Source organism: Homo sapiens, chromosome 1, assembly GCF_000001405.40.
Source record: "Homo sapiens chromosome 1, GRCh38.p14 Primary Assembly".
NCBI classification, from domain to species: Eukaryota; Metazoa; Chordata; class Mammalia; order Primates; family Hominidae; genus Homo; species Homo sapiens.
Genome location: NC_000001.11, coordinates 53943892 through 53969843, shown reverse-complemented (window position 1 = coordinate 53969843; position 25952 = coordinate 53943892). Strand labels below are relative to the sequence as shown.

Sequence of the window (25952 nt, the reverse complement as noted above, 5' to 3'; positions counted from 1 at the left end):
TTATTAAATACATTTCACAAAGCAATAGCTGCCATAGACAGTGACTTCTCTAATGGATCTGGACAAAGTAAATAAGTAAATTAAAAACCTCTTGGAGGCCAGGTGCAGTGGCTCACGCCTGTAATACTAGCACTTTGGGAGCTGAGGTGGGCAGATCTCTTGAACCCAGGAGACCAACCTGGGCAACATGGTGAGACCCTATCCCTACAAAAGATACAAAAATCAGCCAGGTGTGACAATGGCATGTGCCTGTAGTCCCAGCTACTTGGGAGGCTGAGGTGGGAGGACCACCTGAGCCTGGAAGGTCGAGGCTGCAGTGAGCTATGATCACACCACTGCACTCCAGCCTGGGCAACAGAGCAAGACCCTGTCTCAAAAAACAAAACTAAACTTTCCCTCCTAGAAAAGACTCACCATTCTAGATGCCATTAAGAACATTTTGTGATTCATAGGAAGAGGTCAAAATATCAACATTAGGGCCGGGTGTGGTGGCTCACTCCTGTAATCCTAGCACTTTGGGAGGCTGAGGCAGGTGGATCACTTGAGGTCAGGAGTTCAAGACCAGCCTGGCCAAGATGGTGAAACCCCATCTCTACTAAAAATATAAAAATTAGCCAGGCGTGGTGGCATGCGCCTGTAATCCCAGCTACTTGGGAGGTTGAGGCAGGAGAATCACTTGAACCTAGGAGGCAGAGGTTGCAGTGAGCCGAGATCATGCCATTGTACTCCAGCCTGGGCCACAGAGTAAGATTCTGTCTCAAAAAAAAAAAAAAAAAAAAAAAAAAAAAAAAAAAATCAACATTAACAAGGGTTTGAAAGAAGTTGAATCCAACCCTCATGATTTTGAGGGGTTCAAAACTTCAGTGGAGGAAGAAACTGCAGATGTGGTAGAAATAGCAAGAAAGCTAGAAGTGGAGCCTGAAGATAGGACTGAACTGCTGCAATCTCATGATAAAACTTGAAAGGATGAGGACTTACTTCTTATGGATGAGCAAAGAAAGTAGTTTCTTGAAATGGAATCTACTCCTGGTAAAGATGTAACCATTGTTGAAATAACAAAGGACTGAGACTATTACATAGACTTAGTTGATAAAGCAGCAGCAGGGTTTGAGGGGACTGACTCCAATTTTGAAAGAAGTTCTATTGTAGGTAAAATGCTATCAAACCACATCGTGTGCTCTAGCAAAATCTTTTACAAAAGGAAGAGTCAATCAATGTGGCAAACTTCATTGTCTTATTTTAAGAAATTTCCATAGCCACTCCAACCTTCAGCAACCACCACCCTGATTAGTTAGCATCCATCCACCAACAAAGGCAAGACCCCCCAACCACCAACAAAACGAATGTAACTTGCTAAAGGCTCAGATAATTGTTAGCATTTTCTTTAGCAATAAAGTATTTTAAAATGAGGGTATATACATGTTTTTTCTTTTTGGAGATAATGCTATTGCACATCTAAGAGACTGCTATATAGTGTAAACATAACTGTTATATGCACTAGGAAATGAAAGAGTCTGGTGACTCACTTTATTGCAGTGTTTGCTTTACTGCAGTGGTCTGGAACCAAACCTGCAGTATCTCTGAGTTATGCTAAGCTGCCTTGTTAGTTCACCTGGCCTTCCATCCCAAACCGTGTTATTTCCTGTGGCTCCAGTCTATAATCCACAAGCAGAACTTAAGGACAGCAAAAATGTTTATTTGAAAAAATTACTATGTATTGAAAATATACATTAGAAATTATTACATACTTCCATAGCATTCCCCTCCCACACCACAAAAGTAGAAATATCTGCTTACTATGCTAATGCCATAGGTAAATTCAAACAAAAAGTAAATCATCCTCAGTCTCCTTTACTCAAACACTAGAGCTGGGGGCCAGAGAAAGGTCAACTTGTATCTACTAATCAATAGGAATTTAACAAGTCCCAGTCTTCCACAGCAAGACATACATATTTCTGCTTTGAAGGTTGTGAAGAGTTATTCTGTTCTGTCTCTGACTCCTCAAAAGGTCTCTTCTTGCTCTTCTTTGACTCCTGGCTTGAGATAGCTTCGTGTTTCAACACTGGCCCATGGCAATCTGGGGCTTTCTCTTTATAGAACTGGAGTTTCTCGGAAGAGTTCATGTGGGTGTCTGCCAGGGGACACTTCAGTGGGGCTTCTGCTCGAGACCGCTTCCCATCTGTGACAGAAGGGAGGGATGATGAGTTCACTACACTGGCATATGCTAATTCCCTCATCAGTCTAGGATAAACCCAGGGATATGACAAAGGCCCAAACAGGGTGATATCTGCATTGATTGCATTTTGCCTTGAGTGCCCTGTGAGGTCGCTGTGGTGTGCATGGCGGCACAGGTTGGAGGCATACTACAGTCTGACAGATTTGGATTTAAATCCTAGATCTGCCTCTTCCTAGAAGTGACCGTGGGTAAGTGACTTGTCTGAGATTCTGTTTAATCACCTCTAGAGGGATACAAAACCTATTTCATAAGGGTGATATGAAGATACATGAGATCATGTACATAAAGTGATTAGCACAATGCTTGACACACACTAAAGGCCACAAAAATGACAGCCTTCATTATTCGAAATCTGGATTTGACTCTAAGAGCCAAATAGCAAATGATACAACCTATTTTACATTTTTTTGGTATGCCCTGGATTCTTATTTAGTACCTTTACATTTCCTTCACTTTGATTTCATCATTTACTTCCTTTTCTTTTAAAATCATGATAAAATATACATAACATAAAGTTTACTATTTTAGCCATTTTTAAGTGTACAGTTCAGTGGTATTAAGGGCATTCACACTGTTGTGCAATCATCACCATCCATCTCCAGAACTCTTTTTATCTTGTACAAATGAAACTCTGTACCTATTAAACAATAACTCCCTATTCCTGCCCGTGCCACCCCCGCCTCCCTAGTCACAACCACCATTCTGCTTGCTCTACGAATCTAACTATTCTAGGTACCTTATACAAGAACAATCACACAATATTTGTCCTTTTGTGACTAGCTTATTTTGCTTAGCATAACATCTTGCAGGCTCATCCATGTTGTGTCGGTTTCCTTACTTTTAAAGCCTGAAATACATTGTATGTATATTTCACATTTTGTTTATCCATTTATCTGTTGATGGGACACCTGGGCTGCTTCCACCCTCTGGCTACACTCAATTCCTTTTTCATCTTCTGTATTCTATATAGCTTTTGTACCACCACAAATCTTTTTTGGAACAAGATGGTACGTAAGTAAGTAATTTTAAAAAGCTGTCTTCCTGGTGCTGGTGCTCAAAGCTAAGTGTGAACTTATACTGTAAGCTATGCTAAGGGAATACAAGTCTTGGTGATCATAAATAAGCCAATACTATCATAATTAATTTTTCCAAGGAGGGAAAACAAGCGAACTGCTTTAAGGATGCAAATAAAGGGCAAAAAACTTCAAAGGAAAGGGAATTTCTCACAGAAGCGCTGAGCTGCTGCTCTAGGCTCCGAGGTCTCCCGTGGCTTCACAGCTTCCGCAGTCACACGCTCCCACTGCAGAACGATCTGAAACATATTTGGAAAGATTTGAATCCAAACAAAATATTGAGATTTTAATCTCAAGCCTTTCTTGTTCCCCCTTTTTCCCTCTCCATAAACACAAACCCCTCTGGTAAATTTAACTTCAGATGACTGGTGATAAGAATAAGAACCAAGTCAAGTCTGCATTTTCTGTTCTAATGCAGGAGTTGAGTCAGAATGCAAACACGTTGGATATATGTATCTGCATGACTAAGAGAAATCTATAAAGCTGATTTCACTGTCTATTTTCATCTTTATTCCAAGCTGGAAATAAATTACATATCCTTAAACTAAATACTAAAACTTAAAACTTTAGTCATAACACTTTCCACACATTCCTAGACTTACTCTCGTGCCTTAAAATATGCCAACTATAACTCAAACTTTTGTATGTAAAATGCCCATGTTTCCATATTCTCATAACATACCATGATCAGTTTTTACTTTTTAAACTGTTAAAAATATATTTTTATTATAAGCTGCTACCAATTCTTTTAGAAATATGTGGCCGGGCGCGGTGGCTCACGCCTATAATCCCAGCATTTTGGGAGGCCGAGGCGGGCGGGTCACGAGGTCAGGAGATCGAGACCATCCTGGCTAACACAGTGAAACCCCGTCTCTACTAAAAATACAAAAAAAAAATTAGCTGGGCAGGCGCCTGTAGTCCCAGCTACTCGGGAGGCTGGGGCAGGAGAATGGCGTGAACCCGGGAGGCAGAGCTTGCAGTGAGCTGAGACAGTGCCACTGCACTCCAGCCTAGGTGACAGAGCGAGATTCTGTCTCAAAAAAAAAAAAAGAAAAGAAAAAAGAAATATGCCTGAATATAAACTATACATTAAGAAAAGCAAATGATCATTTCAATATACCATGAATAACAAGAACTTTAAATTTAATATTTGTTTATTATGGAATGCAATGAAATGACCATAAAAAAGGTCAAGAAAAACATTTTCAGGACATAGGCAGCCCAACACAGAGTTTAAGAATACAGTTCCAGGCCAGGCTCAGTAGCTCACGCCTGTAATCCCAGCACTTTGAGAGGCCGAGGCAGGCGGATCACAGGAGTTCGAGACCAGGCTGGCCAACATGGTCAAACCCTGCCTCTACTAAAAAATACAAAAATTAGTCAGGCATGGTGGTCCCAGCTACTCGGGAGGCTGAGGCATGAGAATCACTTGAACCCGGAGGTGGAGGTTGCAGTGAGCCAAGATCACACCACTGCACTCCAGACTGGGCGACAGAGCGAGACTCTGTCTCCAAAAAAAAAAAAAACAAAAAAAAACAATACAGTTCCAGGCCAGGCACAGTGGCTCACATCTGTAATCTTTGCACTTTGGGTGGCCGAGGCGGTAGGATCCCTTGCGCCCAGGAGTTCGAGACCAGCCTGGGCAACATGGTGAAACCCCATCTCTATTTAAAAACAAACAAAAAACCAGTTCCAGAGTTGGCTCCACCACTTATTTGCCAGGGGACCCATGGCAAGTGATTTCTTAGTCTCAATTTCTTCATCTGTAAGGATCAATGATAGTACACATTCCATAGGGCTGTTTTAAGGATTAAATGAGATAATACACATAAAGAGTTTAGCACAGTGTCTGGCACACAAAAGGCACTTAATAAATATTAGTTGCCATCTTTTCTATAATTTTCTGGTTATAAAAATGGGAACAGATTTCAGGGAACACCAGGATGGATTAATAGAACATGTTGACTCAGTGGGCAATAGGGAAAATGGTGCTTCCTTCCGCTAAACAGAAATAAGAATGTCAATAAGAGCTGGTCGGGGATGGGGAAGAAGAAAATGAGTTTGGTTCGGGACAAGCTGAATTTGAGGTGGCAGGTGGAGATTTACAGAGGATACTTGGGAATGAGTCTAGTGTCTGAGAGAGGAATGCAGAGTCATCCTCGCAAGGACAGCTGGAGCTCTGAGAACAGTGAAAGAGCACCTGGGGAGTGTGGAGATGTGGGAGAAGAGGAGAGGAAGAAAGAGGAATCAGTCATAGCCAGAGGAGTGAGAAAGTTGGGGGAGAGCCAGGAGAGAGGCCCAGAGAAAAATACATAAGTCATGCATGTTTCTATCGAATGCTGCAGGAAAGCCAAGGAAGGTGAAGAATATCTCCTTCAAGAGGACACTGTCAGGAGAGCAGGGGAGGCCAGAACTAAATCGCAAGGGAGTAAGAACTGAGTAGGCAAGGAGGGGGTGGGACAGACTGGACAGGAAACAATGCACAGCTGCACTGGGGAATGAGGACCAAGCTAGAATAAGGACACCTTGTGTTTATCCACAGAAAGCAGATAGCCAACAAAGGGGGACAATGAAGATGGGGGGGGGGTGGGCAGGAGGGGAAAATAATTATTAGTAAATAGCACAAGGGAAGTTGGAGATCTTAGGGAACAGAATTTTTTAAAAAAGAAAAAAAGGGCTTGTGACTGGAATAAAGGAGCATACTTGTTCTCTCGGATAGAAGGGAAGTGTAATACGGTTGAAGAAATGGAGAAATTCTGAGACAGAAATAGGGAAGTAAGTGGACCCTTGTGAGATGAGAATGAGGACAGGTGAGTGGAATCAGCCTGAAACAGTTTCAATAACAGATCCCCAAGACATAGGCAAAGCACTGCTGCCACGCCCTAGGGGCCCAGCTGAGGGCGGAGGGCAGGAAGCTGCACTGGTCCAGTCAACTTACTCTCAGGCCAGGCTGCTAGGTGTTTTATTTGATCCTTCCTGAGCCCTGCTCAAGAGAGGTCCTGGTTTCTGCATTTTATGGATGAAAACACAGAGACTGAAAGTTGCTTTAGGTTGTACAGCTATGGGGTTGCTGAGCCAGGATTCCATGCCCAGGTCTTTCTGACTCCACAGCCTATGCTCTTTCCACCATGTCACCTGCTACCAAACTGCAGCAAGCCTTTGTAAGACCATCCCACACCTGTCCCACATCCACTGGATGCATCTAGGTCTCATACAGCACTAGAAACTTTGTCTGGCAATGCACCATGATAATTATTTCATCATGCATGTTCTGGACCAAGCTCAGTGTGCTTCTGAAACACGACTCAGCAGTCTCCCTGCTTACCTGTGGAGAGGTGACGCTACAATCCAGCAGGTGGATAGTTCTACCATCCTGCATTATGGCTTGGAGCTAAGAGGGGATCCAGGACAGTTTGGTGGGTCCTCTAGGCCTCCACCAAGAAACATTGGTTAAAAGCATCTAAGGGAGAAAGGCCCCAGCCACAGGGAAGGTGGCATCTACTTGTGCTGTCCTACTTGGTTACTTTCACACTTCCAACTTACATAGAAGACTCTGAATCTCACTTAAGTCTGTACTCTACCAAGTGAAGAAAGACCATCAAGACAAAAGGAAGTCAAAGTAAAGTTCTCTCACTGTTAAGACTCAGTGAGAGAAGGACAAGAAAGACACCTCCTCACTAAGGCTGTGGGAGGTAAGAAACTTTCCCAAAACAAAGAGAAGAATCATATTTGAATCTTTATTTGCATGACACCGGAGTTTATTCTCTCTCCTGTATATACACACTACTAAGAGAATCTGTCCTTCTGAAGTTGGGTCAGACTGCTTTTTTGTGTAGCAAGCCAGAATTCACTTATTTTCTGAGTCATCTGTAAGATGACATTTTCTCCTAGGTCCAGTAAAGATAAGGCACAACCTAGTGACCAGAGCATGAGATATAAGGTCTGGCGCCAATTCTTTAAGCACGTGGGCCAGTTATAGCCCATCAGTGTCTCCAATTTGACATGAAGATGACAATTTAACCAAGGACTACCAAGTGGATTACTGTTTATTCAATGTGTTGGATAAGACACTTGGAATTAAGATGAAAAGCTGCATCAACCGCAAGGAAGAAAAATCTGGAGTACCTGGTCAGCCCAGCCCTCTGTCTTGCAGTTACTATGATCAAATTCCTTCAAAGGCACTTTGGAGTGAACAAGGCCTATGTGGGTCTGGAGCTTGTGCTTGACGGTTTTGATGTCCTAGTGAGGCAGAGACAGATCAGAAATGCAAATACATTTGGTTAATTCTTACTTGTTTTCAGTAGTAAATAAAGACCATCATAAATACCAGCCCTTTCTAAATACCAATTAGCACAGGCAAAATATCAAATTGTTGAGTCTAGAAAAATGAGAGAAGGAACCAAAAGTCTTACCTTGAGCCCTGTCCCAGAGATATCTAAGCAGTTTAGTTTCCTAAAAGAAAAGAGGTATCCAATGCCTGCATCTGTGATCTCAGGGTTACCTAGATGTCAAAAACAACGTAGCATTCTGTCACAATATAAATGCTGTTAAAATGACAACCAAAAATAAGCTCAGAAAAACGTCCGGGCAATGATAAACTATAAAACATTTGAGTTGGCAAACTTTTCAAAGTAAATTAAATACAGAGGTCTGATCTTTACTATTTGTAATATAAAAGAGCCACACTCAATGATCCCTAAAGATCCTTTACAGCTCTTACTTTCTAGGAGTTGGGGGTGAGCAGAAAAATAAATGAACCAGGTAGTTATCCCAAAGGGTTTAATTTGGAACCATATGAAAACATACATAAACATGTATTACAATGGTTTATCATACTTTATTCATGGCCATTTCACCTCCAAAGTAAAAGCATTTATTTATTTTAAAAAGATATTCAAGGGAACTTAGACACAGATACTATCACCACTCTTACCAACTTGCATTATTTTCAGAATCCTTTCTTATATATTACTTTCTCACGTCAGAGAGTACTACACTTAGCATTGAGTCCTCAAGGCCATAAGCGTAGTGCCTGGCACATTGTAGATGCTCAAAAAATATTTGTTGAATGAATACACTTCCCTGGGAGGTAGGGAGGACATTCATTATTTCTTTTTTTTTTTTGAGACAGAGTCTTGCTCTGTCACCCAGGCTGGAGTGAGTGACGCAATCTTGGCTCACTTGCAAGCTCCGCCTCCCGGATTCACGCCATTCTCCTGCCTCAGCCTCCCGAGTAGCTGGGACTACAGGTGCCGGCCACCACGCCCAGCTGATTTTTTGTATCTTTTTAGTAGAGACGGGGTTTCACTGTGTTAGCCAGGATGGTCTTGATCTCCTGACCTCGTGATCTGCCCGCCTCGGCCTCCCAAAGTGCTGGGATTACAGGCGTGAGCCACCGCGCCCAGCCAGGACATTCATTATTATCCTCATTTTACAAAGGCCAAAACCAATGCTCAAAGTGGTTAAATAACTGGTCTGAAGGTATATAACTGGTAGTAAAAGTGGTAGACCAAGAAGGGTCCTCAGACCTCAAACCACTGCTCTTTCTATTCTTTTGGCATCATACTGTCCTGCCATAGAGTCAATGGATGCTCGGTTAAATTGTAAATGATCTCTGTCAACCTCTTACCATTGGAGTCAATATCTGGTTAATCTGAGTAAATTATCCGTTCATCCAGCTTTTCATCAGGCAAACACTGATAAAAAAGGACCTAGCTGACAGACACCAAGGATCAGAGACTCAAGGAAAATAAAGATGAGTCAAATGTCCTTTAAGTATGCAATGAATATGATGAAAGGTGTCTCTGTTTGCACACAGCGAGTGGCATGGATGAATGTGTAAGGGTTTTTCCTACCCTAAAGAGGTGGTATGTGCTAGAAAAATCAGTTGGCCAGGAGTCAAGAGTCTTTGGCCTCAATCCTGTTCTGCCACCAAGTTTCTATGGCACCGAGGAAAGTCACCTTTCCTTTCTCACCTCTAAAATGAAGAGGAAGAACTACATGATCTCTAAGGCCATTCTTCCAACATTAAAATAATCTATAATTTCGAAGAAAACTTACATGATAAGTCTAATAATGTTAGATTCTCAAGGCCTCTTTTCATCACTCGAACTGGTGCTGTCATCTTCCGCACCCCAGCATCAGATAAACAATTATCCTTCAGGTGGAGCTGAGTTACACTAGGGAAACAAAGTACATACATAAATTACTCAAAGAGAGTTTGAGACAATCTAGGTATAAAAACATGCTTTCAACATTTTCATTTAAAAATATAACATATCCTCTACCTCTTGCTATTTCATACCCAATGCATTTAACAAAGTTAAGCTCTTTTGGGCTGGGCATGGTGGCTCATGCTTGTAATGTCAGCACTTTGGAAGACTGAGGCTGGAGGATCACTTGGGCCCAGGAGTTAGAGACCCCATCCCTGCAAGAAATTTTAAAAAATTAGCTAGCCAAGGTGCTGTGTGCCTGTGGTCCCAGCTACTTGGGAGGCTGAGGCAGGAAGATGGCTTCAACCAAGGATTTCAAAGCTGCAGTGAGCTATGATTGCACCACTGCACTCCAGCCTAGGTGACAGAACATGACCCTGCCTAACAAAAAAAAAAAAAAAAAGATTTTTTGGTGCCATTTCAGTTACCAAGTGAGAGTTAATTTAGTGTCATGCAGTACTAATTTCAGAGGGCAGAGGGCACTAAAGGTATATTGTTGAATGAGGTAAATGGACTTCCACTAGGGGATAAATATACTTTAAAACAAAAGCTGCTTTTCTGACAAATGGTGTGAAAATCAAAAACATTCTAACTATGTCAGGAAAGTCTGCTAAAGAACTCCTATGAGAATTATTTTTGCAAAGCAAACAATCCTCTAAATTTAACCAGCTTTATCAATCTAGATTTTCAGTTTGGGTTAATAAGGTATACCCATAATCCAATCCATCTGATGCTAAGCTGGAATTGGTATATTAATATGCTCCGTTTTCACATAAGAAATCTGAGCCTTGATGCTGGCTAGCCTCACACAACAGCATCTTTTTATGGGGCAGTAGGTAGGTGTCACTGTCAGAAGCAGGCCTCAGGTAGTAGGTTAGACCTAGGTTTGTAATGCTGTTGTTCTTCTGGGTGTTTATAAAACCACAGAGGGATCCATCTGTCCTCCTCTTTGCTGGCCAGAATAACCTGAGATCAGTCAGACTATTTGTGAATGGTATGAACTGGGCCATTTCTTTAAATCATGACTCCTGAAAAGAATTTCTTTGGCTGTCTTTAATAGTTCATTTTCTTTATAATTGTAGCTCATTGATAGTTAAAGTAGCAAACGATAATGATTGTTGACTATGGTATAATGTCTCATCCCTTGCTAGAATAAACTAGGACTGGATAAATAAAGGGCAAAACCCAAGGTGGGTGGATCACCTGAGGTCAGAAGTTCGAGACCAACCTGGCCAACATGGCAAAACCCCCGTCTCTACTAAAAGTACAAAAATTAGCCGGCGTGGTGGGGGGCGCCTATAATCCCAGCTATCAGGAGGCTGAGGCATGAGAATAGCTTGAACCTGGAGGTGGAGGTTGCAGTGGGCCAAGATCACGCCACTGCACTCCAGCCTGGACAACAAGAGCAAGACTCCGTCTAAAGAAATAAATAAATAGGGCCAGGCGCAGTGGCTGACGCCTGTAATCCCAGCACTTTGGGAGGCTGAGGCGGGAGGATCACCTGAGGTCAGGACCTCGAGACCAGCCTGACCAACACGGAGAAACCCCGTCTCTACTAAAAATACAAAATTAGCTGGGCGTGGTGGTGCATGCCTGTAATCCCAGCTACTTGGGAGGCTGACGCAGGAGAATTGCTTGAACCTGGGAGGTGGAGGTTGCGGTGAGCTGAGATCGTGCCATTGCACTCCAGCCTGGGTGGCAAAAACGAAACTTTTGTCTCCAAAAAAAATAAAAATAAAAATAAATAAATAAGGGGCAAAACCACTTTTTAACCTACGTAGCTTCAAGTATTACATATTAAAATAAAAGTTACTTAGAAAAAAAGAGTCAACTAACTGACTTGAGTCAACTGACTGACTTTCTAAGGGTTGTCTAATCTATATTGCTTATACCAAGTAAATGGAGATTGAAAATGTTTTAGGAAAAAAAAGCAAATCAACATAAGAATGGGAAGTAATCAGCATTCCTGAAGATAATCCTGTTGGATCAGCCTTTAAAACAATACTGAAACAATTCATCTGCAAGTGGTGACAGGTCAGTACCTAGACAGGGCTTCATTGGTGAGATGTTCTAGAAGTTCATGCTCATCTCCAAGCTTGCAACAGGAAAGATCCAGGCAGGTCAGCTCCCGGAAAGACTTAATCTCCTCAAGCTTTTCTGAAATCACGAGATACCTACGGAGCGTGGAGAGCAATCAATAGCTTCCCCTCACTACTCTTAAAGCATTACCATTTGTGGATTTGTATCATAGTCAATATCCTACCATCCCATCAGGACACAGTACTATGGAATAAGCAGACTTCACTAATTACTATCAGGGCAAAGGCTGAATTTTTTAATTAGTAAATGCCTTGAACATCTTTTTATGTGATGGTAGAATAAAAATTTTGAATAAATAAATAAATAAATAAATAAATGTATATTAGCAAAGGAAAGTCACAAGTGAAACACCTGCTTTGTTATCAGGCAGACCTTGGCATTGGTGTTGGGACCTTACCTGAGAATTTCCAAACTTTAGGATACTCGAATTTTTAATTACTAATTCTTTTAAAGTTGCTTTTAATCTAATGCTCAACATCCAGTGATTTGAAAACTGGAGCAAGGTCAAGAACTCTCGTTTCCAATCTGCATGTCCCCAAGAACATACCAAGAGATATTTGGCACATCACATTTTATCTTTCCTGAACACTCCCCTGTGCCTGTTATCCTAACTTTACTCCAAAAGTATGTACAGCAAGACTGCTACAAGGACTCACTCCAGTCTAGATGGATATTAAGACAAACCCTGAGCACGAGCAACTTAATTACATTGCAGCACCTTGCCAAGTTGTTATCAGGAAGCATCAGGGAAGCCTCTGGAGAGGGAAAGGAGATCAAAACAGCATTCCACAGCCCAGGCTGGGGCCTCCACCCTGCTTTCTAGTGGTTCATCTATCTCAGATGAGGTCAGTGAGAAAAAATGAAAGGGATTAGGTGTGACAGGAAATGGAGAGGAGAGGAACCTAAGAGGACAGGGAAACTGACTTGTGGCAAGAGCAGGCCTCTCTCATCCACCTTCCTCTTGAATGTCTGGAAGTTTCCACAGCAAGATGGTGTGTTAGGATCAGTGGGGTTACACCTAAAAGAGTACATACCTCTCTTCCATCAGCAGGATCACAACTGCCAAAAACAGGATGGAATAATCAGAGGGCAAGAGAGGAGTTAATCTCTTTTCTTCCTACTTCCAACCAAAAAAAGATGTACTCAAACTAATCACCAGCCTGACAGCTAGGTACAGATGGTCTGAGGCACTGATACCCCCTTAAAGGGTGGAACCTAAGGTGCCTGGAGACCGAGCTCAGCTGGGTACACAAAAGAGCCTTATTTACTCAGATGTATTTTAATTGCATTGTAAATAAAGCTGCTGTTTTCCACCTTCCAATCACAGAGTTGAAGTGTGTTAATGGGGATTTAGAGGATTACTGGCAATCAGAGAAAGGAAAACACATATACTTTGATCAATTAACCAAAAGATTTTTAGTAATTCTGAAACAAGGGTTCTCTGCAAAGGACATAACACTGTGTAATGTGATTAAGAAACATTACGAAACTCAAGGTTGAGGAACAAACATGTTAGGCCACAGACATTACTAGGTGCTAATCTAGGACATAATCAAAGCTCTAGGTTCTTGCTTGCAACCAGTCTTCCAAATTTTCCCTTAAAGGGTTCGGAACAGTACAGTGGAAAAGCAATAGAAAGAGCACAGACCAGACCTGAGTTTGGATTCTAACAGCCCAATTACTTGTGTGATTGTGAGACAGTTACTTAACCTTTCTGAGCCTCAATTTCTCCAGCTACAAAATGGGGCTACAAAATTCTTTTCAGGATGATTAAGAAAAAGAGAAACAATATTTTAAAATTCCATGGCATCTTGCAAGACCTCATGAAATAGTAGCTATTACTATTATGTCAACAACAAAAAGTGATATTTTAAGGAAAACATACTTGCCTCCCTGTTACCACCAGTGGGATTAAAAATCACTGGGGTTTCAACACAAGGGAGAAGAGAGTTTTCGTAAGGTTGGAATTCAGTTGCAAAGACACTTGCTTCTGGCAGGTAGCTTTGTGACTTAACCCCAAGATAGCAAGTGCCTGCACCTACCCAGTTATTTTATTTTCATTTATTTTTTCAAGCTCATTACTTTTGACCTGAACCCCTTTGTGCTGACAAAACCTCTTGGACTGCAGCTACAGCCCTGGATTGCAAATGCAACCTCAAGTTTCCTGCCCTCTATTTGCCTTTAAGGATTCAAAAGGAGAAGAGAGGTTTTTGATAACAACTGAAAGTCTTACATTTGAATGAGACAGTCAAGTGTGGAATTGCTGCAATAAAATATGGGCTAAAAGATTATGTTGGCCGGGCGCGGTGGCTCACGCCTGTAATCCCAGCACTTTGGGAGGCCGAGGCGGGTGGATCACAAGGTCAGGAGATCGAGACCATCCTGGCTAACATGGTGAAACCCCATCTCTACTAAAAATACAAAAAATCAGCCGGGCGTGGTGGTGGGCACCTGTAGTCCCAGCTACTCGGGAGGCTGAGGCAGGAGAATTGCGTGAACCCGGGAGGTGGAGCTTGCAGTGAGCTGAGATCGAGCCACTGCACTCCAGCCTGGGTGACAGAGCGAGACTCCGTCTCAAAAAAAAAAAAAAAAAAGATTATGTTAAAATTGTTTCCTATATTTTCTGGCTGGGCATGGTCGCTCACGCTTGTAATCCCAGCACTTTGGAAGGCTGAGGTGGGTGGATCACTTGAGGTCAGCAGTTCGAAACCAGCCTGGTCAACATGGTGAAACCCTATCTCTACCAAAAAATACAAAAATTAGCTGGGCACGGTGGCGGGCGCCTGTAGTCCTGGCTACTCGGGAGGCTGAGGTGGGAGAATCACCTGAACCTGGGAGGCGGAGGCTGCAGTGAGCCAAGATCACGCCACTGCACTCAAGCCTGAGCAACAGAGTGAAACCTTGTCTCAGAAAGAAAAAAAAAGTTTCCTATATTTTCTGATTATTATATAAATGTAAATGTTTCTTACATTTTCTGATAATGTATCACTTTCATTGGAAAAAAATTAAGAAAATATAGGAAAGTATAAAGAATATAAAATCAATTCCAATCCCACCATCTAGACCGCTTTTTGGTAGATTTCTTTTTTCCTTCTATCTGTCCAATACATACATTTAAAAAATCTGTTTCTTAAAATATTATCTTAATAGTTACATAATATTTCATCATATAAATATACTATAATTTGCTTAACCAACTCCCTACTGTTGAACATTTAGTTTTTAGATTTTCACTTGTACAAACAGTACTACAATGAACACTCTTATGTAAAAATATCTGTTCCCATCTTTGATTATTACATTAGGGATCAGAATAGATTCTTAGTAAGTAGAATTAATGGGTCAAACAAATAGTATGGATGTTTTCAAGGTTCTTGATACATATTGCTAAACTGCTTCCAGAAATGCTACACTAATTTATGTCCTCATCAAATGTGAATGAAAAGTGCTATTCTCATCCCAATCTGACCAATCTACCACTACAACAGTATCCAGACATCGCAAATGGATAAACGGCGTTTTCAACAGCATGGCAAATATTAAGCTATAAGGGTAGGTGGGGGAAAAAACAGAATACGAGTTGTACAAAGTATATATTCCCAAATGTATAAAAATAATATATTTGAAAATGATCATCATGGTGGGATTATGGATTTTTTAATACTACAATTTTATGCATTCCCCAAATAGCATGTATTGCTAATTTTAAAACAAGATATACATCATAAGTCTATTTTGCCATTGTTCTAACTTTTCTACAATGAACATAAACAACTTGGAAGAAAAAATGAAGGGTAAAACGTATTTTAAATGCATAAGCCACAATGAAATATTGCTTGACTTTTTCATTTAGGCAAGGTAATTTTTTTCCTTTCCACTGGCAGCAGTCCCAAGTCCAGCCATGACTGAGACCATAGCCCAGAGACAGAGCTTTCAAGGTGCCTGCTCAGTTTATGAGCCAAGTTTCTATTCTTTTCTGCATGTGTTTATGTCTTTTCTTTTTAAAATACAGTATTTGGCCTGTGGTGAAACCATTAATTCTATGAGCTGATTAAATAAAGATCATTTCTCCTTTATTAAGCATACGAGCTTACCTCCTGTTTTCTGATATGGCTTTCTCTTATATACATTTTTTGTTCAGCCCTTGTTATAATGCTCATGCAGATTGTGCGTCTTAATAGTAAGCTGCCGGCTGGGCATGGGGGCTCATGCCTGTAATCCCAGCACTTTGGGAGGCTGAGGCCGGTGGATCACCTGAGGTCAGGAGTTCGAGATAAGCCTGGCCAACGTGGTGAAACCCCGTATCTACTAAAAAGACACAAAATTAGCCAGGCATGGTGGTGGGCACCTGTAATCCCAGCTACTTAGGAGGCTGAGTCAGGAGAATTGCCTGAACCTGGGAGGTGGAGGTTGCAGTGAGCTGAGATCGCGCCATTGCACTCCAGCCTGGGAAACGAGGAAAATTCCGTCTCAAAAAAAAAAAAAGTAAGCTACCTTTCAGGTCTAATCACAGAATAGTTCATACAGTGGTATACAATAAAGCTATTTTAAAAACCTACAAGTAGGCCAGGCGTGGTGGCTCACGCCTGTAATCCCAGCACTTTAGGAGGCTGAGGCGGGAGGATCATGAGGTCAGGAGATCGACACCATCCTGGCCAACATGGTGAAATCCCGTCTCTACTAAAAATACAAAAATTAGCTGGGCATGGTGGCATATGCCTGTAATCCCAGCTACTCGGGAGGCTGAGGCAGGCGAATTGCTTGAACCAGGCAGTTGGAGGTTGCAGTGAGAGCTGAGATCGTGCCACTGCCACTCCAGCCTGGCGACAGAGCAAGACTCTGTCTCAAAAAAAACAAAAAAAAATCTACAAGTATTGATGATAAATGATTTTCAAATTATGTGAAGAAAGCAAGGTCCATAAGAGTGTATGCAGCATGCTGCCATCTGTATAACAAAGACGGGAACTACATAAGCATGTATGTGTATAGAATATCTCTGGAATGGTATTTTAAAAACTGGTAACAGCATTTGGTCTCTGGAGAGAGGAAACTGGAGATGAGATAGGAAGAAGGCTTATGTTTCATTTTATGCCACTTTGTGTTTGTGTTTAAATTGTTTGCCATGTATAGTTTTATTGTTTTTGCAAGTTTTTTAAAAAATTAGATGTTTTGAAAGTGTTTTTACATGACGGTAAAGTAAAAATTTTAAATAAAGCATATGAGCAAAGGCAGTCACAAGAGAAAATATCTGCTTTGTTAAGACCACAGACCTTAGTGTTGGGACTTTGAGAACTGCCAAACTTTAGGATATTTGAAATTTTAATCACCCAATCTTTTAAGGTCACTTTTTATCTAATGGTCAGTATCTAGTGGTCTGAAAACCAAAAACAGGCCCAAAAACTCTGGGTACTAATCTCCCCATCTGTAAGAGCGTATCAAGAGATATTTGGCAGATCACATTTTGTCTTTTCTATTTTCTCTTTGAAAGCTGTTAGAATAATATTTTCTACTTAATGGAGGAGCTGTGACAACTAATCCTTGTAAAATGATTTCAGAATAAAGTTAAGTGTCATCTAAGAGGTGAGGAGAAGGAAGAGTGATTTTTTTCAATATGGTCTTTTACTTCATATTTGGAAGTTCTAAACTGAAGTGCTATTTGATGAGGGAAGCCCCTGAGCCCACTAAGCCCCAGAGCTTGACAGAATTAACACACCCAATAAAATACCGAATAATCTAATCAGAACACCCACCTGTTTCGCAAACACAGGGAGCAAAGCACCAAACTTCCATAGGCCTCAGTGAATTTCTGTAAAGCCCTCAGCCCTGCACCTGGCTCAGTGAATTTCTGTCTGGCTTCAGCAGCAGAGAACAGCTTTTCAGCAATCTGCTCAGGAAAGCCAATAAGGGAATCAATGTGATCCACATTGTCGGAGATGAAACCCAGGACAAGGCTGAAGAGGGATTTGGCGGAGTACCGAAGATTCCCCTCTCGGGTGTATGTGAAGATGAAATGATCAGTCTTCTCTTTCCGTGCAGTGTCGTCTTCCCTGTTCATGCAAAGCTCCACAGAAAAGCCTTTGGGGAACAGTCTGAAAGGCCTTGGCTTCTGCAGGCTACTCCTGACACCATCCAGAGCCAGATTGACCATGTGCAGCTGCCCATTTTCTCGCATGTAGATGGGCCCTGGGTCCAGGTGGTTTTCTGAGCTGAGGTAGTAAGACATTGCCTTGGTTGCAACTGTAAAAGCAAGGCACAGGGAAGCAAATCCAATTAAAATGCCATTTGTAACATGTAACTTCATCTTGCTGTGCCCAGGGCTTTATGAGCCTACCAGGCAGGCCTGGTGGCTGGTTTAGGAAAAGCAAAACTCACCAGTTGCCTGGGAACTTTGGCATTCAAGGTTGCCTCTATTGCCGCTACCTGGAATGCCCCTTCCTACTCTTCCCTTTTTCTTGTTTATCTGGCCATCTCCCACTCTTCTTTCAAAACCCAGGTCAAGGCCGGACGCATTAGCTCACGCCTGTAATCTCAGCACTTTGGGAGGCCGAGGCGGGCGGATCACCTGAGGTCAGGAGTTCGAGACCAGCCTGGCCAACATGGTGAAACCCCATCTCTACTAAAAATACAAAAATTAGCCGAGCGTGGTAGTGCGTGCCTGTAGTTCCAGCTACTCAGGAGGCTGAGGCAAGAGAATCGCTTGAACCCGGGAGACAGAGGTTACAGTGAGCCAAGATTGTTTCATTGCACTCCAGCCTGGGTGACAAGAGCGAGACTCCGTCTCAAAAAAAAACAAACAGAAACCCAGGTCAAAATCTCATCTTCAAAATTCATGCTAAGGAAGTTGTCACAGATGTCAGCAAAGATTCATTTATGTGTAAATTAATGGCAGCAAGTTTATATTAGCAAAACAATTGGAAAACGACCTAAATGTCTAACAATTGGGATGTTAATAAATACATTATGACTTACACGTACCATGGAATGTGATAAAGCCATTAAAATTATGAATTTTTAAAAAACATGTTTAGACACAGAAAAAAGACTAGAAATAAATAACTCCCTTGCTAGCTTGACACATTCCACACACTTCTTGGTTGCACTCGGTGCACTGTTGTATTTATTTGTTTCTGAGTCTGCCATCTGCTGCTTTGGGCTCCTTGAGAAAAGGAACCACGCTGAATTCATGCAGACTCTATAACACAGTGTCCTGGCATCTTATAGTCCCCGAGCAGATAGTGTGGAACCAACATTTACTCGTTTGCTAAACTTTACAAAGACCAAAAGCAACAGGATTTTTTTTATCTACAAATAAATACCTCCATTACAAGAGCTACATAAAAACTATTCTAGCCTTTGGAAACTTCGTATCTATTAAAGTTCTATTAGGGCAGTTTTAACATAAAAAAGTCAAACAGTTGGGCATTTCTGCAGTCATGTGGGTAATAATATATGCCCAAGAACTAACTGGAATACTTGTTTTCCTCCTGAGTAACCATGAGATTTCAAAATACATGAAAAATTGCTATGTTACATAAAATGAAGGTATTTGAGGATTATTTCTACAATTTAAAGGGAGAAGAGAGGTAGAATATCATACATGCCTGATAATATCCCTAAAATAATCTGATTGAGTTTTAGAGTGAACCAACTCAGCTTCTTCTGCATCAATGTGGGGCCACAATGTGGCCCTGAAGGCACTTATGAGTGTCAGCACACAATTAGGTCCGTGATCAAAAATGCTGAGTCTCTGGAGATGAAACAATGAACCTGTGTGTGGGAATCAGTACTATCCATGTTTCTCTCAAGGATAATTATGTGTATAAAAGCACATGAGAGAAGAGTACTCTGCCTAGCCCTAGAGCCTCACCCTTTCCTGCTCATCTCCTTATGTCCTACTCTTTGGCCCTGTCATACTACCCAGGTAAACTGGCCATGCTCTCATGTCCCACTGGCCATTGCTCGTTCTGTTCCCTTTGGCTGGAACATCCTTCTCTGCCTACCTGACCTAGCTAATTCCTACTCATCATTAACTTCGTCCCTCTTCTGGGAAACCTTCCCTAACCCCTGCACCAGTACGTGCCTGTCTGGTTTTCCCAGAGCACCCAGTCTCTCCTACATAGCACTTAGGACCATGTACTATGTCTGTTCACTTGTTAATGTACCCAGAGTGGTGAGCTTTTTGAAGGCAAGGTACTTATTTGATTCATCTATCTTTCTCAGGCTTGACATAGTGCCTAGTACTAAGTAAGCCCTCAAAAGATATTTGCTGAACTGTATGAAAGGAAGGGTAAGACCTCAAAGGACAAACTTGGTGCTCTCAGTTGTAGGGCCTGCTGATACTGTTGCTAGGAGCCAGCTCCTTTTCCAGGCAACAGCTGCAGGCTCCTCCCCCACTTGCCAGACCCTTCTGCAGGTGGCAGAGGCAAAGCAGACGATGGGAATATATTGCTACTGGTACTACAAGGGGTGGGAGACAACTAAACTAAAAAACAGGGGAAAAAAATCCTGTCACAGTGCCAGCTCTTATAACCCATACTTTTCTCTTGCCAGCATTTACAGCCCCTGCTGCTAAGGAGACACCTCATTTATTCTGAGCTGTTCCTCCAGTAGGGGTGAGCATCTGGACCCTCCAACCTTGCAGACCTTAATTTTGACTGAGGAATTACGGCAGATGTCCTTTGGTCTTTATCCCTGTCATTTAACATTCAGAGCTCCACTCTACTTGTAGATCAGAAAGCAGACGCTAGGTATGGCCCTAAAAAGGACTGACGTGATTTTAACAACAGAAAGACAAATTCTATGGAACATACCCTATTATAGTGGATGAATACACTGTGAACTCCCTGAGCAATGACACAGGGTCTGCCCATCTGTATTGCCCCCAACCCTCACCCCTAACAGTGCCTTCCACAAACACTGTTGTAAAATGGACAAATGGATGGATGGATGGGGTGGGTGGGTGACCACTTCAGATGAAAACTAGAAGTCTGATTCCATCCAGCAGAGGGCACAAGCAGCTTGGGGCTAGAGTAAGGACCCTAACCTGGGCTCCTCAAAATCCTGGCTGCTTTGGCTTCCAGGGATCATTTTCAAAAAAAAGGCACAGTTCTGGTTGTTTTTTTGTTTGTTTGTTTTTCTTTAGATTACCCACCAAATACCACTTATCTTTCTAAATGAGGAAAAAATAAATACAATTTTTTCCTGGAGAGTAAACCCACATCATTTGTCCAGAAGCCACTGGAGGAATTGACTTTGGTTTGGGAATCCTGGCGTCCTTTAATTTCTACTACTAAATCAGCACATCCTGCATTCTCCCAAAAAGGATCTTCCTGAGTCTATGAGGTATGTAACATGACCTAAGCATTAAATTAACATTTGAACCCTTCAAGGCTAAGAACCAGAAAGGCAAGAGAATTCTACACAAAACTTCACTACTTGGGTTCATTTGTCCCTCACTATTGTACTGGGTGGTGTATTACAAATGGACCTGGTCAGGAGACAGGGCCTGTTCTAAACCATGGTGAAAACTCCATCCAAATTGAAAAATTAAAATACTTAGTCACTACAACAATAACAATGCCCAATGTAGATCGTAGTAGCTGTATTATATATTGGATCAAGAGTAACAGCGACATTTTGATAGTTTCCCAGCCTGCTACAGGAAGGCAGCTTTGTAACCCATACGACAGCATAGAAAAATATTACAATCATGTATGTTCTAGCATTTGGTCACCACAAGCGAGCCAAAGTTACCACGAAGTGTACCATTTCATCAAATGAATGAAACACAGCTGTATTACATTAAAAACTCAGTTCTATACAGCTTTCTTGAAAAAGGCCAGACAAAATTATTGATAACTACACATGACAGTTTTTTAGACCTTGAATCCAGTTTCCCAAGCAAAAAGCATGACTATGCCAGTCAGGTGGACTGGGATTGTCAGGGAGCCCACAGGGTAAAATTGTGAGCTGAATCTACGGCTAATTTGAAGAGAAGAAGAAGAAAATATCTAACTTCAGTAGATAAAGTAAGATAAAAATCCCCTAAGAATAACAAGTTGTAGCAGTAACTATGATGTTTAATGATACTGGATGATGGCTACCATTTATTAAGCACCTACCAGTTGCCAAGCACTGTGTTAGGTACTATATAAAATGATCTCATGTAATCTTTAATGATCCTATGAGGTCAGTATTGCCTTTTAATAGACAAAGAGACCCACGGAAATAAAATAACTTACTCTAGAACAGAGCTAATAAGTGGCAGAGCCAGAATTCAATCTCAGGGCCGCATTACTCCAAAGCTCAAGCTCTTTCCTTGGCATGATGCTGTTTCTCAAGACTAAAAATATGACATCAACCTTAAGGATAAAAAAAATGTGAAAAATTAATCTCACCCACCTGTTCGATCCCTCTAGTATTCACTGGATGAAGCCTGGGGGGAGGGGGTGGGGATAAGATTAAAAAACAAAAGCAAACAAAAAAACAGTGCACATCTGGGGAAAGAGCTAGTGGGAACACAGCCAGGACATTTACAACGAGGCCTCCCTTCTTCCCTCAGCCAGGCCCAAAATGAGCTACATCCATATACCAGGAGAACATCTGCCAACCCATGGCCTTCATCCCAAGGCTGCAGACACTTTTGGTTTATCTGAAAATGCAGTATTCTTGGGAAAATTTCTAACATAAAAACCTAAACAGAAACTAAACTATGGGTAGTTCTAAACCACCAATAACCAACAATCCACCTTCATTGTTCTGTGTGTCCCCATTCTTCAATTTTCAACTTTCCTCACTACTTTTTTCCTATAATATGCACTTTCCTACCTGCCTTCTCACCCATACCCTTTCAGGCTCCCTACTTCCCTCCAAGAACATGCCAGTCTCTCCCACAACGTGACACTCTTACCAATTCTAGCGCTTCTCACACCAAAAATCCTAACCCCACTCCCTTCGCCCACCCCAGCTCTCCTGCCCCTTTCAACCTTCAGACCCTTCCAGCCCTTCCGAGCCCCTGGTGAAAGGTGGCTTGCTGTCCCACAGACCCAACCTTCCAACCTCCGATCTCCCAACCTTCACCTGCCTCCCCTTCCTTCCCCACACTCCTCCACCCCCCACTCCTCTCCTTCACCATCTATTCTTCCCTTCTTCCCACTCTAGGGGCTTCCCTCTCCTAGGACCCCAATCTCTCCATCCCTTTCCTTGCCTTCTGTTCTCAATCTTCAAGACCCTCTTCCTTCACGCCTCACTATCCCCAACTTGGCATTCCACACCCCCAACTTTTCTTCCCTGCCCCCAAGACCCCACCCTCTCTATTCCTATCCTATCTCGTTTCCTCCTTGAACCCCTAAAATCCCATTCCCTTCCCCCTTCCTTCTTCCCGCTCTCTCCCCAAGCATGCCTCTCCCCGAGTCCACCCAGGCTAATCCTGCTCCCTGTCCCACCCAGGCCCCGAACCCCAATTCTCACACGTCCCCATAGCCTGCCCCCGCACCCCTACGCCACCCTTAAACCCATCGCCCCCACCAGTATACCTCATCCTCCCCTCAACCCGCGCCCCGCCGTCCCTCTGGGGCGTCCCCTCCCCCACCCCGCCCCTCCCTAACACCCCGCCCCCGCTCCCACACGCAACCCGGGGCCCCGCGAGCGGCCCGGCCCGCGGCCGCCACCTACCTGTGCCCCTGCCCGGGGCAGCGAGCGGCAGCTCCTCGGTGACGGCTCCCTCCTCCCGCGGCCCGGCTGACGGGGAAGGGCTCAGCACCCCGGGCACAAAGCTAGGAAGGGTGGGACACAGTGAAGGTGGGAGGAGGGAGGGGGCTGGGGGCAACCAGGCGCCGTGGGACCGCGGGACCGGCGGGGGCGGGAGCAAGGCTGGGCCGGGGAGGCGCGCGTGCGCGGGCCCCGGCACGAAGGCGGGGCCGGACCTGGAGGCGGGGCCAGGCCCAGGGCAGGCGACCCGAGGGCCGAGGGTTTGGAACTCGCAGAGGTGGGCCCTGCGCGTGCGTGCTCGCGGGAGGGTGGGTCCCCTGGGTCCTGCGGGCCCCGGGGATAGAGCTGAGCTGGGGGAGGGTAGGCAGCGCGCGCCCCGGGACTGGCCTGGGGAAAGGCGCACAGGAGTGGTTTCGCATCTTGGCCCGCGAAGTAATGGGAGCCGGAGAGGGCGGGGCCGATTGTGGGCGGGGCCTGTGGGAGGCGTGGCGCTAAGAGCTAGGGGTAGGAGGGGCCGAGGCCGCCGCGAGGGGGCGGGGCTGAGGCGGGGTGGGGCCTCTGGGAGGCGTGGCGCGAAAAGCTCGGGGTAGGAGCGAGCGCGCCCGGGAACTCGGTGGAGCGAGCGCGCCCGGGAACTCGGTGGAGGCCGCGGTGGCGGGGTGGGGCGGGGCTGAGGGCAGGGCGGGGCCTGTGGGAGTCGTGGCGCAAAGAGCTCGGGGTAGGAGCGCGCGCCCGGAAACTCAGCGGTGGCCGCGGCGAAGGGGCGGGGCTGAGGGTGGGACGGGGCTTGTGGGAGGCGTGGCGCGAAGATTTCAGAGTTGGAGCGCGCGCGACCCCGGACTCCACGGAGGCCGCGGCGAGCAGGCGGAGCTGCGGGTCGGGACGCTCTGCGTGGGGCGGGGCGCAAGGGAGGTTTCGAGCCCGGAAGGTCCGGCGCCCAGAGCTAACGGGAGTCCCAGGTGAGCGGGTAGCGGGGTAGGCAGGCTGGCACCAGAGGGTATGGGGGCCTGGCCGGGCAAGGCAGAAGGACGGGGATGTTGGTGGGAAGGGAGCAACAGTGGAGGGGTGGTGAAGAGACGCGCGGCGGGAGGCGTGGAAGGGCCGCGGCGGGAGGTCTGACGCGGGCCCGCCTTTTCCTCTAGACCCTGGAAGCGCCACTACCAGCCCACGAAACTCTTTGAGGCCAGAAATAGCGTCTTGACCCCCCAAAAGGGAAAACCAGTTGTAAATCGAAATTAATTAGTCTACCAAAATGTAATGTAAGCTGTCAGCCGCAACGTAACACATCTAGCTATAAATTGTACCTAAGGTCGGGGGCATTTATATATTCTTTACATAATTTGGGGCGGGCCTCCACAAGTCTGAGGCTTTAGGGCCTTGAACTGAGGAGGAGGGTTTGGGATGGAGGTGAGAAGGTGGTGCCAGGGCTGGTTTGCCTTGGAAGCCGTGGCCCTGGCCCCTCGGAGACAGAAGCCTTAGGCCGGGTCCGTGTTTTCTAAAGTACACCACGTTCCCAATGGATGATGCTTGAAGAAAGAGCGTGAGGAGTCCAGCTGTAGCACCAGAACCAAGGGAGCTGGTCAGGGAGAAGGTCCTCTAAGGACTTGACCTGAAGAGGTTTGGGGAAAGAAGGACCACAAAGGGCATGTGAGCTAGCGATGAAAGGGTGAACTGGGGACGAAACCAGTGGCACTGGTTTAGAAGACAGGATAAGGCATCAGGGAATACCAGGGTCAGGGATTGTAAAAAATGGAAAGGATAGCACCCCAGAGTGTACCACCTTTGGTAAACTGCGGCCCTGAGGAAATTGCCTTGCTCTAAAGGGGTGGGGGATTAGACTACCTCCCAAACCTGCACTTTGTTTTGTTTTTTGGAGACATAATCGCTCGTCGCCCACGCTGGAGTGCAGTGGCGCGGTCTCGCCTCACTGAGCCTCCGCTTCCTGGGTTCAGGAGCTTCTCCTGCCTCAGCCTCCGGAGTAGCTGGGATTACAGGCACCTGCCACCACACCCAGCTAATTTTTATATTTTTAGTAGAGACGAGGTTTCACCATGTTGGTCAGGCTGGTCTTGAACCGCTGGCCTCAAGTGATCCGCCTGCCTGGGCCTCCCAAAGTGCTGGGATTACAGGCGCCTGCCACCAGGTCCGGCTAATTTTTGAATTTTTAGTAGAGAGGGTTTTGGGGTTTCACCATGTTGCCCAGGCTGGTCTTGAACTTGTGAGCTCAAGCTGTTCGCCCACCTCGGCCTTCCAAAGTGTCAGGATTACAGGCGAGTCACCAGGCCTGGCATTGTATGGATTTCTCTAAGGTTGGTTGCCTCTTCTCATTAACTGCAACAAAGAACCTTAAAGAAAACCAAGTCTCTGCCGTTTCTACTTAAGTAATTCTACCCAAAACAGGAAATAGGAAGGGTAATGGTGAATATAGAAGGTGTGAAATGAGTTTTGTATTAAAGCATGTGTTTGCTTCTCTCAGAAAACTTAAGAATGTGAGGTAAGAAAAGAACTGAACATTTGGAGAGTACATTCTTTCCTATTCATCTGCTCCATATCAACCCTAAAGTGTAACTCTCTTTTAAAAAACAAGTTATCCGCCGGACACAGTGACTAGCTTCTGTAATC

At 44.2% G+C, this 25952-nt stretch overlaps 2 protein-coding genes across 24 annotated transcripts in view, besides 6 other annotated features; one reads left to right on the top strand and one right to left on the bottom strand.

The window, feature by feature from the left end:
- Nucleotides 1-1675: 1675 nt before the first annotated feature.
- On the bottom strand, nucleotides 1676-23494 carry LRRC42 (leucine rich repeat containing 42). Of its 3 annotated transcripts, none has more exons than NM_001256409.2 (9): nucleotides 23295-23494; nucleotides 22023-22056; nucleotides 17372-17858; nucleotides 11564-11695; nucleotides 9370-9488; nucleotides 7722-7810; nucleotides 7435-7548; nucleotides 3464-3548; nucleotides 1676-2179 (listed from the first exon to the last, which is right to left on the bottom strand). In NM_001256409.2, exons 3-9 carry the CDS (start codon nucleotides 17842-17844, stop codon nucleotides 1905-1907), a joined length of 1287 nt encoding a protein of 428 aa, NP_001243338.1. In that variant the 5' UTR covers nucleotides 17845-17858; nucleotides 22023-22056; nucleotides 23295-23494; the 3' UTR covers nucleotides 1676-1904. The 3 variants fall into 3 exon arrangements, with proteins under 3 accessions (NP_001243338.1, XP_006710391.1, NP_443172.1); XM_006710328.5 differs by lacking the exon at nucleotides 22023-22056 and adding an exon at nucleotides 21863-21982; NM_052940.5 differs by lacking the exon at nucleotides 22023-22056.
- Nucleotides 10362-11068: an enhancer, noted in NCBI's record as "H3K27ac hESC enhancer chr1:54424449-54425155 (GRCh37/hg19 assembly coordinates)". NCBI's record gives its function as "activates a minimal SCP1, AML or CMV promoter by ChIP-STARR-seq in naive H9 embryonic stem cells {active_cell/tissue: H9 hESC(naive)}" and the evidence as "EXISTENCE:reporter gene assay evidence [ECO:0000049][PMID:30033119]".
- Nucleotides 11929-13128: an enhancer, noted in NCBI's record as "MED14-independent group 3 enhancer chr1:54422389-54423588 (GRCh37/hg19 assembly coordinates)". NCBI's record gives its function as "activates an origin of replication core promoter dependent on BRD2, BRD4, P300/CBP and CDK7 cofactors, and independent of MED14, by STARR-seq in HCT116 cells {active_cell/tissue: HCT116}" and the evidence as "EXISTENCE:reporter gene assay evidence [ECO:0000049][PMID:35650434]".
- Nucleotides 12314-12608: an enhancer, noted in NCBI's record as "tiled region #11594; HepG2 Activating DNase matched - State 14:Gen5'". NCBI's record gives its function as "activates a minimal TATA promoter and a strong SV40 promoter by Sharpr-MPRA in HepG2 cells {active_cell/tissue: HepG2}" and the evidence as "EXISTENCE:reporter gene assay evidence [ECO:0000049][PMID:27701403]".
- Nucleotides 20474-20768: a silencer, noted in NCBI's record as "tiled region #3629; K562 Repressive DNase unmatched - State 25:Art". NCBI's record gives its function as "represses a minimal TATA promoter and a strong SV40 promoter by Sharpr-MPRA in K562 cells {active_cell/tissue: K562}" and the evidence as "EXISTENCE:reporter gene assay evidence [ECO:0000049][PMID:27701403]".
- Nucleotides 20651-20700: a silencer, noted in NCBI's record as "silent region_914". NCBI's record gives its function as "represses an Ori minimal core promoter by ATAC-STARR-seq in GM12878 lymphoblastoid cells {active_cell/tissue: GM12878}" and the evidence as "EXISTENCE:reporter gene assay evidence [ECO:0000049][PMID:35858748]".
- Nucleotides 23179-24248: a silencer, noted in NCBI's record as "silent region_913". NCBI's record gives its function as "represses an Ori minimal core promoter by ATAC-STARR-seq in GM12878 lymphoblastoid cells {active_cell/tissue: GM12878}" and the evidence as "EXISTENCE:reporter gene assay evidence [ECO:0000049][PMID:35858748]".
- Nucleotides 23539-25952, top strand: part of IFT25 (intraflagellar transport 25) — a 34730-nt gene continuing 32316 nt past the window's right edge. For 13 of the 21 annotated variants that reach the window (NR_133632.2, NR_167995.1, NR_167994.1 and 10 more), the window contains exon 1: nucleotides 24145-24289. The gene's annotated coding sequence lies outside the window, so the exon portion shown is untranslated. Of the gene's footprint in view, nucleotides 23608-24144; nucleotides 24290-25952 lie in introns of those variants that run through there. The other 8 variants (NR_167989.1, NR_167990.1, NR_167992.1 and 5 more) reach the window with 1 other exon arrangement.